Below are 13942 nucleotides of genomic sequence, written 5' to 3'. Positions count from 1 at the left end.
GTGGTCCCAGCTACAGGGGAGGCTTAGGTGAGAGGATTGCTTGAGCCCTAGAGGCAGAGGTTGCAGTGAGCTGAGATCGTGCCACTGTACTCCAGCCTGGGAAACAGAGTGGGACCCTGTCTCAAAAAAAAAAAGGGGGGGGGGGAGGGGCAGAAGCAATACATGAAGAGAGAGTTTCTGAAAAACTGATTAAATAAAAAAACCAATACAAGAAGCTCAGCAAATCCTAAATAGGATAGATACAAAGGAAACCACGCCTACATGCATCATAGTAAAACTACTGAAAAACTGGGTAATTTTTAAATAATCTTAAGAGGAACCTTCAAAAGAACAAGATTAAGATAACTGACCTCTCCACATAAACAATGGAAAGCAGTAAATAATGGAAAATATCTTTAGAAGTGCTGAAAGAAAATAATTTTATGCCTATTAAAAATATCCTTCAAAAATAAAGGTGAAACAAATACATTTTCAAACTAATCAAAACAAAAAACATGTTATTAGCAGGCATGCAATAAAATACCAGATGTATCAAAATGAAAAATTTTATACTTCAAAGGATACTATCAAGAAAGTGAAAAGAAACCCCACAGAATGAGGGATAAATTTATAAATCTTATTTTTATTCTATTTTATAACAGAAAGCTATTGTGTAACATTATAGAAAGTTATTTACTTATTTTAACTAAGAAAAAATTTTAATTTATTTTAAAACCAATTTTTTGGATTAAAAAGACACAACTTATTTTTTAAAAAATAGAATTCAGGCCGGGTAAGGTGGCTCATGCCTGTAATCCCAGCATTTGGGAGGCTGAGGATGGCGGATCGCGAGGTCAGGAGATCAAGACCATCCTGGCTGACATGGTGAAATCCCGTCTCTACTAAAAATACAAAAAAATTAGCCAGGCGCGGTGGTGGGGGCTGTAGTCCCAGCTACTCAGGAGGCTGAGGCAGGAGAATGGCGCCTGGGAGGCGGAGCTTGCAGTGAGCCGAGATAGCGCCACTGCAGTCCAGCCTGGGTAAAAGAGCGAGACTGTCTCAAAAAAAAAAAAAAAAAAAAAAAAGATGGAATTCAGAATTTATTCAAATTCATATTATCTGTAATGTTTCCTGGGATAAACATACAACTAAGTAATAAGCCAATATATAATTCAGATAATTAGCTTCCTAAATCATCTAACACAGTAGCTAGCACCTGACAACAGGTTAATATGGGGAAAAAAACTGGAATCTATTGAATACTTACCAGGCACAGTGAAACCCACTTTACATATGTTACCTCATTTAATCCTCACAACCACTATATGAAGTATAATCCCACTCCTACAGATGAGGAAATTAAGTCTCAGAGAGTTACTTAAACTTTGACCATGATTACACAGTTTCAAGTGACAACGCTGGAATTCAAATAATAGCAACTAATATTTATTGAGCACTTACCATTGTGCCACAGTCTGCTCTAAGTTTATTTTATGTATTAACTCACTTATTTCTTAAAACAACCCTATAAAGTATGTTACTATTATTATCTTCAGTTTACAGATGAGGAAACTGAGACACAGAGAAGTTAAGTAACTTGTTCAAGGTTATGAAACCAGCAACTGGTAAAGTTGGGATTTTAGCCTAGGAAATCTAACTCCAGAGCCTGAATTCTTTACCACTACACCACCATGCTGCCTCTCCAGAATTCAAAACTGAGGTCTTTCTAAGTCCATTAAGCCAAAATATTTATCAATATGTAATTAATATGTCATGAAAGTCTAGGGAAACAATAATTTAAAATTTAATCCAAATAGATTCTTTTACACATATCTTAATTTTTAAAATTTGTATTTCAAAAGAGTATTTTCTTCTACTTACTACATGAAGGTAGAAAGTTTGCCTGTGTATTTTATTAATTTAGGAGTGACACACAATCCTCATTTAGGAGAAATACAGTAGATTACCAAGCAACCCCTATAATTATAGTAGTATGAACATAAACAGTGGAAGTATCAACTAAATCTCATTTAAGGCAATGATAAGGAAAAGAAATCAGGCAAAATAATAGATTCCACAAACTAACTTGCCTTATAAGCTGTCCTAAAGGGGTGCCTTCCCTAACATACCTTTTCTTGCTGCAACCTTAAAAGCAAACCACGCTGTTTCTTCCGGAGCGGGGGCATTTTATCATCCTCTCCTTTGTCTCGTAGATGTCTGCAAATAATATTTTTCATTGAGACAAAGATTTGATTAAATTTCTCTTACCTGAATAATGTCAAGAATTCTTGACTACTAAAAAGTCTACAAACCAATTTAACATTTTCAAATGTGAAAAGCAGTTGCTACATGTAGCCGTAACCATTAATATCCAAATAAGTATTTCACTGAGGTATATGCAAGCCCTAGAATGTGTCCTCTGGAGACAGAAGGACTTGGGGAAGTTTACAATATTGCATCATATGACAACATAAGATTACAGTCAGTTAAGTGATAAAAGGGGAATGCAAAGAAAATGTTACGTGGGTAGGAGGAGGTCTTGAAAGAAATACAAATCAAGTATGACTGCCGTTATTTCTAGCTTGAGAAACTGGGCTGCTCTAATCAAATGAAATGAGGAAACAAAAAAATCTTAAAATATAAAGCATTCCATTTTATGAATGAAGAAATTAGTGAAAACTGCTCAAAAGAACTTACTTTTTTTGATGCTCTAACCAGGCCAATTCAGCCTTAGTCTTCTCCTTCAAGGCCTTTTCACGGAGACGCAGGAGTGAAGACTGGTGAGCTGCCCTCATTTCTTCCTCTTTCATATACTGTCGAACCATCTCCATAGTAAATTTAGAAAAGCTATCTTGTCCTCCTGAGAATGGCATGTTCAGTTCCTAAAGTAGATGGTTTCTTTCTTGTTTATCATCATCTAACCTTTTGGTACTTAATTCCACTAAAAGAGGTATGCATTTACAAAAACAAACTATGTATTTAACAAGGCCACCAACAATGTAAGAGTATATTCTTTAAAAAGGCACATGAGGCAGATTAACATTCATCTGCTAATTTATTCAGCCAATAAAATTTTAATAAACTACTGCAAGCCAATTACTGTCCCAAGGATACAAAGTGGGTAAGAATTTGTTCCTCTTAACCAAGAGGATTACAATTTGGTAAGAACGAATGTAAATTTCTAAATGGAATAAAGTATTAGAAGAGTGAAGCAAGTACAAAAGCTAGAGAGATAATATTGGCTCAGATCCTCAAAGGCCTTATATATCATTCCAAAAAATAAGTTTGTATTGTACTTTGTAAGGAAAGTGAAACCAGATTTCATAGGAAAACTATAAAATAAAACTGATATCTTAGAAAAATCATTCTAGTAGCTGACAAATGAGATAAGTACAAAATGTTTTCTCATATCTTTGAGAGAACATATCCACAACCATTTACCTCCACAGATAAAGTGAAACACACCTTGGCAGTAGACAGTGTAGTTTTTTCTGGAGAAGCTTCTTCATCAGAGTCATCATGATGACCTCTTCTCTTTTCCATGTTAAATCTGCGGTGACTCTCTGAAGGTAGTAATGATCGAAATGATTGTTCTTCTATTTCATCTTCTGTCATGGATTCATCAAATTTCAGAGAATATTCTGTTGCAATAGACGTTGAGTCTAAAAGAATATGGAGAAAGTAGATTTTATCATTATAATTGTTCTCAGTAGGTATTCAATTAATAGCCCTTTGCCTCTTTATGGGACAATCCAACATAAATTCATAAAATTGATCACTAATAAATAGACATGAAATAATAAACAAAATTCATTTGCCTTACAAGCAAGAAAAAGCCTCTAAAAATACCTAGAAATATTAGGTTAAGACATATAAAGATTAATGTTGCAAAAAATTTAGAGAGCTCTTACAAATCAATTAGAAAACCACTAATGCACCTATAGAAAAATGAAAAAAGGCCAGATCAGATGCTTTACAAAGGAAATATAAATAGTAAAAGTGAAAAAAATGTTTAACATTACTATCAATCAAAGAAATGAAGTAAAAATATCTTTTTAAAAAACTCATTAATTCCAAGCTTAATTAGAATATGACAGCTCTTTCAGTTTGGTTCCTGTGTGCCTTTGCCATGGTCCTGCATCCTTTTTTTTATTGAATACTTCTTCCCTTTCTGGTACTACAAGATACTCCAGGCTCAAACTGTATTTTCCCTACAGCCCTAGAATCAGCTATTTCTACAAAGAGCTCTTATTTATTTTATTAAAGAATGATATTTAGAAACCACAATCTAGGGGCCAGGCACAGGGGCTCACACCTGTAATTCCAGCATTTTGGGATGCCAAGGTGGGAGGATCCCTTGAGGCCAGGAGTTCGAGACCAGCCTGGGTGACAGAGCAAGACCCCGTCTCTTAAAAAAAGAAAGAAAGAAAGAATTTGTAGGCACTAGTTGTCCTTGTTACTACAGTTGTATCACTGCTTCTGCACTTGCTCAGTGGACAGAGCTAGGTAATATATGGATGTATATTAATCCATGTATACGTGTGTGCACATAGTTACGCATACAATTACAATTGCTTTTGTACCCATCCAGTCAGCCAGCTAAACATGAATTCGTACTTATGTCTATGATCCAGTACCAGAGTTCATTCTAGTCTTCCTTTCTTGTGTATCTTCCCTTCCAACACTGAGAAACCTGGCTCTGACCATCCAACACTCGTTTACTTATTTGTTCAAACCCAATATATATGTAAAGAACTGTTAACCTGTACCCCTGTGAAAAACTATTATCCAATTAGAGTATAGGTTTATGTACCGTTCCTTTTGTATTAGGCTTATATTAATAGTTTCCACTCAAGACACCATTTTCCAAAGTTACTTACTTAGATCAGCTCTTTCCCCCAACCCCTTCAATGTTGTTATGCCATGTATCTGTAACACAGTTAGATCCATTTATTGCAGGCTGCGTTCCATTTTGGGAACTCCCAATATCCTGATTAATGTGTGTGTATGCATGATTAGTTCACAGATATTAAAATTTACTCATTGTGATACACAGTTTCAAGGTTTTGACAAATACATAGCATCATACAGAACATACATACACACAGAACAACTACTCTATGTAACAGTTCCTTCATCCTAAACGTTGCTCCGTGCATCCTCTTTGCAGTCAACTACTTCCTCTTCCCCCAATGCCTAAAAACCAATTGTTTTCCAACTCTTTAGTTGTGGCTTTTACAGACTGTCATATAAATTGAATCATATTATAATACACAGACTTTTGGGGCCTGCTTTTTCACTTAGTAAAATTCATTTAAAATTCGTCCATGTGTGCTCCCTTCAACAGTTCATCTGGTAGAGCGGAGGTCTGGTAGAGCGGAGGACTGTAAAATTCGTTCATGTTGCTACATGAATCAAAAGATTATTCCTTTTAACAGCTGAATAGTATTTCGTTGTATGGATGTACCAGTTTGTTTATCCATTCCCCTAGTAAAGGACATCTTGGTTGCTTCTAGTTCTTAGCAATTATGAATACGCTGCTATGAACATCAGTATATAGGTTGTTATGTAGACATAAGTTTTCAAATCACTTGGTAAATATCCAGGCATTTGACTGCTGGATTGTATGGTTAAGTCTTACAAGACACTATCTTTCACAGTGACCATATAATTTTCCATTCTCACCAGCAATGTATGCAAGTTCCTGTTGCTCTGCATCCTTGTTACCAATTTGTTATTGTCTGTTTTTCTGATAGCCATTCTAATAAGTGTGTTATGGCATCTTGTAATTTTAATTTTAATTTCTCTAATGATATACGATGTTGAAGACTTTTTCCTGTGTCTATGTGCCATCTGCATATTTTCTTCAATGAAGTATCTGTTCAGATCTTCCGTACATTTGTAAAATTGAGTTGTTTTTCCTATTATTGAGGTTTTTTTGTTTTTTTTTTTTTTTTTGGTTTTTTTGGAGACAGAATCTCACTCTCGTTGCCCAGGTTGGAGTGCAGTGGCACCATCTCGGCTCCCTGCAACCTCCACCTCCCGGGTTCAAGCAATTCTCCTGCTTCAGCCTCCTGAGTAGCTGGGACTACAGGCGCATACCACCATGCCCAGATAATTTTTGTATTTTTAGTAGAGATGGGGTTTCACCATGTTGGCCAGGCTGGTCTTGAACTCCTGACCTCAGGTGATCTGCCTGCCTCAGCCTCCCAAAGTGCTGGGATTTCAGGTATAAGCCACTGCACCCAGCCTTCTATTATTGAGTTTTAAGAGTTCTTTATATATTCTAGATATAAATCCTTTATCAAATATGTGAGCTGCAAATATTTTCTCCCAATCTGTGGCTTTTCATTCTCTTCACAATGTCTTTCACAAAATAGAAGTTTTAAAATTCTGATAAAACACAATTCATCAATTTTTTCTTTCACAGATCACACCTTGAGGTGTTACGTACCTAAGAAGTCATCATGAAACCGAACGTCACCTAGATTTATGTTTTCTTCTACATACGAGGTTAAGGGTTTGGTTTCTTTGGATAGTGGCTGCCCTGTGAATTCTAGCTGTCTTGGCTTCTTTAGATTCCTAACTCCATTTCCTCAACTCAAGAAGACCACTGGGCTCCATGCTCTGCAGTCTGGAAACTCTCTAGGCAGTAAACTGGTAGAACTGTAGCATTCATTTGTTTCCAGTCTCTCATGAATCAACACAATTCAATGCCTGAGGCCCACTGTCTTAAAAATAGTTATTTCATGTTTTGCCTGATATTTTACTTGCTTTAAGAGGGTAAGTAGGCCAGGCGCAGTTGCTCACACCTGTAATCCCAGCACTTTGGGAGGCCAAGGCAGGCGGATCACGAGGTCAGGAGTTCGAGATCAGCCTGACCAACACGGTGAAACCCTGTCTCTACTAAAAATACAAAAATTAGCCAGGTGTTGTGGTGCGTGCCTGTAATCCCAGCTACTCAGGAGGCTGAGGCAGGAGAATCACTTGAACCCAGGAGGCGGAGGTTGCAGTGAGCTGAGATCACGCCACTGCACCCCAGCCTGGTGACAGAACAAGACTCTGTCTCAAAAAAAAAAAAAAAAAAAGGTGTAAGTAAGTCTGGTCCCTGTTGTTCCATCATGGCCAGAAGCAGCAGCAGTCCAAGTAATACTTTTTTGTTTTTGTATTTCTGCTAGTCAAGTAAAGCACAGGGCAAGTAATTCAATATTGTTTAAAGAAATTAAAGTCACTGTTCATGATATTTTAAAATAGTCACTTGACAATTATTTATTCACTGTTATTGGAAGACAGGCACCATGGTAAAGACTTGAGATATGGCACAAACAAGTCACATATCGTTACTGTGTTTCCTTCTAAGGCTTACAAATATTATCTATAATTAAATATGCTTTAATTAGAAACACTATATTATTGAGATAAAGTTTAGTAAATATTAATGAGATAAAGTTAGAAATCTCCTCAGCTAAATATCCAAATACATCACTTTTAATGTCTACATTCCAAAACACTGGAACACAGTTTCAGTCAAGTTGTTTGCCACTTTATTTACTTATTTTTTTTTGAGACAGGTTCTTGCTCTGTCGCCAAAGCTGCAGTGCTATGTCTCAATCATAGCTCACTGTAGACTTGATATCCTAGGCTAAAGTGATCCTCCCATCTTAGCCTCCCACGTACTAGGACCATAGGCTGTGCCACCAAGCCTGGCTAATTTTTAATTTTTTTGTAGCGACAGAGGTCTCCCTATGTTTCCCTGGCTGGTTTCAAACTCCTAGGCTCAAGCAATTCTCCCAGCTCAGCCTCCCAAAGTGCTGGAATTACTGGCATGAGCCACCACATCCAGCTTATTTGCCACTTTATAACAAGGATCACCTTTCCTCTGGTTTCTGAACAAATGATTACACATTTATTTGCAAAGAAAGTTACCTTTTTCATCAGGAAGAGATGGAACACTATCACTTCGTAGAGAATCATCTGCAGCAGTCTGAACCTGTTCATCAATGGAACTCTCTATCTTTTCACCATTAAGTTTCTTCTCATTTTCCTTACAAGATGGAACTGAAGGACTTTCTTGGCGGCTGCTACCACTGCTACTTCTTTTTATGGATACATGGAAACAACAACAACAAAATTAACAAAATAAGGATTATAGCTTCAAAGTAAACTTATTTGGCCAAATGACTGTACTTTATAGTCAAGATAAAAATGAAGAAAGATGTAATATAAAACAGAAAAAGCTAAGTAACATAAGTCTGAGAATATATTGGAAAAGATGAGAAAGATGAGTAGGAGAGAGGAAGGTTTCACTTTTAAATAATAATAATAGGCAGTGTTGTTAGGTTATCACTCCCTTTTTTCCTTTCATTTCAAAATCAAACTTCTGGGAAAGGGAGCTACTACTCACTGTTTCCACTTCTTTACTTTTCATTAACATCACGATTTATCACAATCTGCTTCCACCCCAACTGCTCTACTAAAACTGTTCTAAATAAGCTTAATCTATACTTTGAATTGCCAAATCCAATACATAATTTATTGCTTTGCAATATTAGATGTTGACCATATCTCCTTCTTTAAAAGCTCTACTTGCTAAATAAAATGTAGTAAAATGTTAGAATAATCTGGATGAAAGATATTTGAGGACTTTCTATTATTCTTGCAACTTTTCTATAAGCTTGAAATCATGTCAAAATTAAATGTTAAATAAAAGAGCCCTCCCTTCTTATATCCTATGATTTTACTCTCACCTGCTTTTCCCATCTCTCTAACAAGCTTTCCTTGTTTCTTTCATTTGCTTTAAATTTTTCTGTCTTTCCTTAAAATTGATGGTTCTGTTTTGGTCCTTTTCTTTTCTTTTTTTTTTTTTTTTTTTTTGAGGAGTTTCATTCTGTCGCCCAGGCTGGAGTGCAGTGGCACAATTTGGTTCACTGCAACCTCCACTTCCTGGATTCAAGAGATTCTCCTGCCTCAGCCTCCCGAGTAGCTAGGATTACAGGCATGTGCCACAACACCTGGCTAATTTTTTTTTTGTATTTTTAGTAGAGATGGGGCTTCGCTATGTTGGCCAGGCTGATCTTGAACTCCTAACCTCAGATGATCCACCTGCCTCGGTCTCCCAAAGTGCTGGGATTACAGATGTAAGCCACCATGCTGGCCCTCTTTCTCTTTTATATTACATATTCTCCTTGGGCAATCTTAACCATAACTTCAACTACTATCATTTAGAGTGAGCCTCAAATTTGTATCATTATCTTTGCCCTTCCCTTGATTTTAAGCTTCAAGTATTGAAATGCCATGTGAACTTCTGATTTTGGCTATTCCTCAGCCAACAAACGAAACGTATATTCCCCCAAGCTTTCTCCTCCTTACATTTCTTGGTTTATTCATTCATTACACAAGCCAGGTTAATATACTTAGGATCCTCAGCACATGCTTATTTCCTCTTCCAAAATGCCCTTGCTGCTGTGTCTGCCTAACGACCTATGGAATTCAAGAATCAGTTCAAGTGTTATTTCTAAGAAACTCCATGGATCCCACCCCAACTCTCAAGGAAGCTTTGGTCACTTCTGTCCCTGTGTTCATACTGTTTTTTTGTGTATATTTCTATGACAGTACTTATCAGAATATAATGCAATTGTTTGGTTTAATAAGTTTTTGAAAACATAAATCTTCTAATAAAGCAATAAGGTAAAAGATGTAATGCAGCACACAGTAGGGACTTTCAAGTCAGAAGGACATGGGGTTGAATCCCAATTCTACCAATTAGTAGTTATATGCTAATCATTCACTCAATAAACTTGTAGTAGATTGCCTACTGTGTGCTAGGTACTTTGCTAAGTTCTGGTGATACAAGTATGCATGGTCCCCCCTAAGATGGCTATAACAAAAAAAACAACAAGCATTGGTGAGGACTGTAGAAAAATTTTACGTGGTGGGAAAATAGTATAAAATGCTGCAGTTACTTTGGAAAATAGTTTTGCAATTCTTCAAAAATTTAAACATAGAGCTACCATACATGACCCAGCAATTCCATTCCTAAATATATACTCAAGAGAAATGAAAACATATCCACACAAAAGGTTATATGTGAATGTTCACAGCATTACTTATAATAGTTAAAAAGTGGAAACAACCCAAATGTCCACCAACTGATGAATGGATAAATAAAATGTGGGATATCCAGGCAATAGAATATAATTTGGCCATATAAACAAAGTAGTGATACATGCTACAACATGCATGAAACTTGAAAACATCATGCTAAGTGAAAGAAGTCAGTTACAAAGGGCCACATACTGTAATGATGCCATTTATATAAAAAATCCAGAATAGGCAAATCCATAGAGAACGGAGATAGGAAACAGATTAGTGGTTGCCAGAGGAGGGTATAGGGAGTAACTGCTAATGGTTACTGAGTTTCTTTCTGGGGTGATGAAAACGAAGCCCTCAAAGAGCTTCTAGTCTAGAATGTAACTGACTAACAAAGAAACATGTACACATAGGGTGGTCAAGACTATCACAGCTATACTCACAGTGCTGTAGGAGAACACTTAGGTGAGAGCTAAAGCAGACGGGATAGCACTGATTCTTGAAAGGTAAGTAAAAGTAAACTAAATGAAATGAGATGTGGGATGGTCTAGAAAGAAGGTATATCATATGCAATGGCACAGAAGACAGAGAGCATGGTTCTTCTAGAGAACTGGAAATAGTTAGAATGAGTGGGGTATAGTAAGAGAGGAAATGCCAAGAGATGGGGCTAGAGATGGACCAAAGGCTCAATTATAAAGAAAGTTTTCATGCCAGGCTAAATAATTTAGACCTTAATTTGAATATTCTGAGGGATACTGAAGATTTCAAATAGGTGAATAACCAAATTGGCTAGAAATTTTACAAAAATCACTCTGGTTACCATGTGGCTAATGGAGTGGAGAAAGATTAGAGGATGAGGACAAGTATTAGGAGTTCACCATAGTAATCCAGATGATGGTTTACATGAAGTTTCAGTGAAGGTGTCAGTAAAGGTTAAATGAACATCAGATAGTTTCAGAGACATAATAGCTACTCAATAACTTTTGGTACTTTTCCCACATTTTCATGTCTTTTAGTTTCATGATTTAATTTTTTAAATTGGGGTTTTACTATACTTGACAATGTCAGTATGTTAACTGTAAAAATGCTGGAAAGTAGCCTCTAAAATCTTCTAATCCCAAGATGGAACCATAATTGAAAGCTATAGCCATTCATATCACACCAACTACCAATGACAGCTATTCAATTTTTTTTTTCTTTTGAGATGGAGTCTCACTCTGTCACCCAGGCTGGAGTGCAGTGGTGCGATCTTGGCTCGCTGCAACCTCTGCCTCCCTAGTTCAAGAGATTCTCATGCCTCAGCCTCCTGAGTAGCTGGGATTATGGGCACACGCCACCACGCATGGCTAATTTTTGTTTTTTTAGTAGAGATGGGGCTTTGCCATGTTGGCCAGGCTGGTCTTGAACTCCTAACCTCAGGTGATCTTCCCACCTCGGCCTCCCAAAGTGCTGGAATCACAGGCGTGAGTCACTGTGCCCGGCCTATTCAATATTTTTTATAACAATAAAAATTTGTAACATCAAGAAATATGAATGTCAGCAAGGAAATGTGCAATAAACACAGCCTTTGAAGGCAGATAAATTAAGGTGCAATTCCTTGATGTATCATTATTTATGTGACCTTGAATGGGTTTCTTTTTTTTTTTCCTATAATCAACAATTATTTTATTTTTGGAGTTATGTTTAATTATTCTTTTTTTTTAAATTTTATTATTATTATACTTTAAGTTTTAGGGTACATGTGCACAATGTGCAGGTTTGTTACATATGTATACATGTGCCATGTTGGTGTGCTGCACCCATTAACTCGTCATTTAGCATTAGGTATATCTCCTAATGCTATCCCTCCCCCCTCCCCCCACCCCACAACAGTCCCCGGAGTGTGATGTTTCCCTTCCTGTGTCCATGTGTTCTCATTGTTCAATTCCCACCTATGAGTGAGAACATGCGGTGTTTGGTTTTTTGTCCTTGTGATAGTTTGCTGAGAATGATGGTTTCCAGTTTCATCCATGTCCCTACAAAGGACAGGAACTCATCATTTTTTATGGCTGCATAGTAACATCTCCATGAGCCTCAGTTTTCTAACCTATAAGGATAATACCATCTGCCTTGGAAGGCTGCTGTGAATATTAAATGCAGGAAGAACAATTTATACAATGCTTGTACAATGTAGGTTCTCAAGGAACAGTAGTTACATTATTACATGGACCAACTATTTTGTAAATTGGCTAATTAGGGAAGCCAGCACTTTGAAGGGCACACACTGTTCTATTTAAATAAACAAGATTAAGAAATCAAAGAAAGCAATGTTTAAGCCATTTATCACAATCTACTAAACTGTACTGACAAAGAAATCAAATTGTCTTCACCTTCTATCATGATTCTTGTATCCTGAAGACTCAGAATAACTATCATATGAAGCAGAATACTTCTGATGCTTTGAGTCAAGGGTCCCTTCTTTACTCTGAGAGAGTGAAACAGATGGACTTTTCCTACAAATAAAATAAAAACTGATTAAACATTCAAAGTCTCTAATAACAGAAAGATTTTAAGTATTGCTTAATAGTAATATGAGATAAAATCTTGAACAAATAGATATTATAAAATAACTTACAACACATTAAAGAATATCTTCTGTTTTACTAAGGAAGTAAACACAAATCACTCCTAGTATCAATGAATGTAAACAGAGACTTAAAATCTATGAATTAGAGACAGTCAAAATATGATTAAGAAAACACACACACACACACACACACACACACACACAAATATGGTAATGTCACCCAGTCCCGCCAAAAATAATCTCTTTAATGACTTCATTGCTCCTAGAATAAACTCCAAAATCCTAAGTCTGCAAGGTCCTATACCTTGATCTGATCCCTGCATCATCTCATACCATTTTCTTTGCTCTCTGCCTCCAGCCACAATGGTCTTTATTTCTTTTCTTAAATATGCTATGTTCCTTCTTCCTTCAGGGCCTTTGATCTAGCTATTCTTTACCTCCTTTACATTACTAACTCCTCATCCATTAGATTGCACCACAAGCTTTATTTCCTCAGGAAAGCCTTCTCTGACCTGCTGGCACCCCCAGGCTATTCAAATTCCTGTGTTACATTATCTCTGAGACATGTGTTCCCTTCTTTCATAACACTTAAATCAGTGTATAAGTATTCATTCACTTAACTGAATATTTGAGTAATGTTTATCTTCCCTACTAGACTATGCCCATAACTGTATTCTCAACCAAGAATAATGCCTATAACAACAAATACTCATTACATATTTGCTGAATGAATATTAACCTAACAGACAGTCATTATATATTTGCTGACTGAATGAATATTAACCTATCTGTTTCAGTTCTGGTCCTCAGCTGTTTCACAAAGTCTGGAAGGTGCTGCCGTTGGTGGTCATACAGTATTGCAAGGGGAGCTCCTGAAGCCACGACAGCATCTGAGATATGAGTTCTAGTCAACTCTGCCATCTAAACATGAACACACACAAGAAAGGCAAATGTATTAAAACGTAAGGTCAGAGAACTGAGAAGGAGCATAGTGTCTTGGAAAGAAAGATCACTGACTTGAGAACAAGCAAATTCTGCCACTAATAGATGAAATACTGTGGACAAGTCATTTAGCCTCTTTAAGTCTCAACAGCTTCATCTTATAAAAACAGAGTTAGACTACATGATTTCTACGGTTTCACCCAGCTATAACAATCTATGAATTAGACAGAAAACCTTAAAGCATAACATAAGCAGTAATAAGCCAAAAATTAAATCTTCCTTCAAGAATCAATTTAATTACTACTTCTTTTCTAACTCTTTGCTGACCAACAGGTCAAGTACATTTTCCCTATTCTTAACCACTAC

The 13942-nt window shown here is 36.6% G+C and overlaps 1 protein-coding gene across 27 annotated transcripts in view; it reads right to left on the bottom strand.

The window, feature by feature from the left end:
• Nucleotides 1-13942, bottom strand: part of CEP350 (centrosomal protein 350) — a 160066-nt gene that overhangs the window by 58265 nt on the left and 87859 nt on the right. For 22 of the 27 annotated variants that reach the window (NM_014810.5, XM_047435442.1, XM_047435459.1 and 19 more), the window contains 6 exons: nucleotides 13419-13555; nucleotides 12438-12560; nucleotides 7906-8075; nucleotides 3445-3641; nucleotides 2677-2861; nucleotides 2109-2196 (listed from right to left, as the gene is read on the bottom strand). In NM_014810.5, coding sequence (NP_055625.4) covers nucleotides 2109-2196; nucleotides 2677-2861; nucleotides 3445-3641; nucleotides 7906-8075; nucleotides 12438-12560; nucleotides 13419-13555 — 900 coding nt within the window. Of the gene's footprint in view, nucleotides 1-2108; nucleotides 2197-2676; nucleotides 2862-3444; nucleotides 3642-4294; nucleotides 4388-7905; nucleotides 8076-12437; nucleotides 12561-13418; nucleotides 13556-13942 lie in introns of all 27 variants that reach the window. The other 5 variants (XM_047435400.1, XM_047435376.1, XM_047435384.1 and 2 more) reach the window with 1 other exon arrangement.

The sequence above is a fragment of the Homo sapiens genome, chromosome 1, assembly GCF_000001405.40.
Source record: "Homo sapiens chromosome 1, GRCh38.p14 Primary Assembly".
In the NCBI taxonomy this organism is placed as follows: Eukaryota; Metazoa; Chordata; class Mammalia; order Primates; family Hominidae; genus Homo; species Homo sapiens.
The sequence above is the reverse complement of the archived record's forward strand: the minus strand, read 5'-3'. Positions and strand labels throughout refer to the sequence as shown.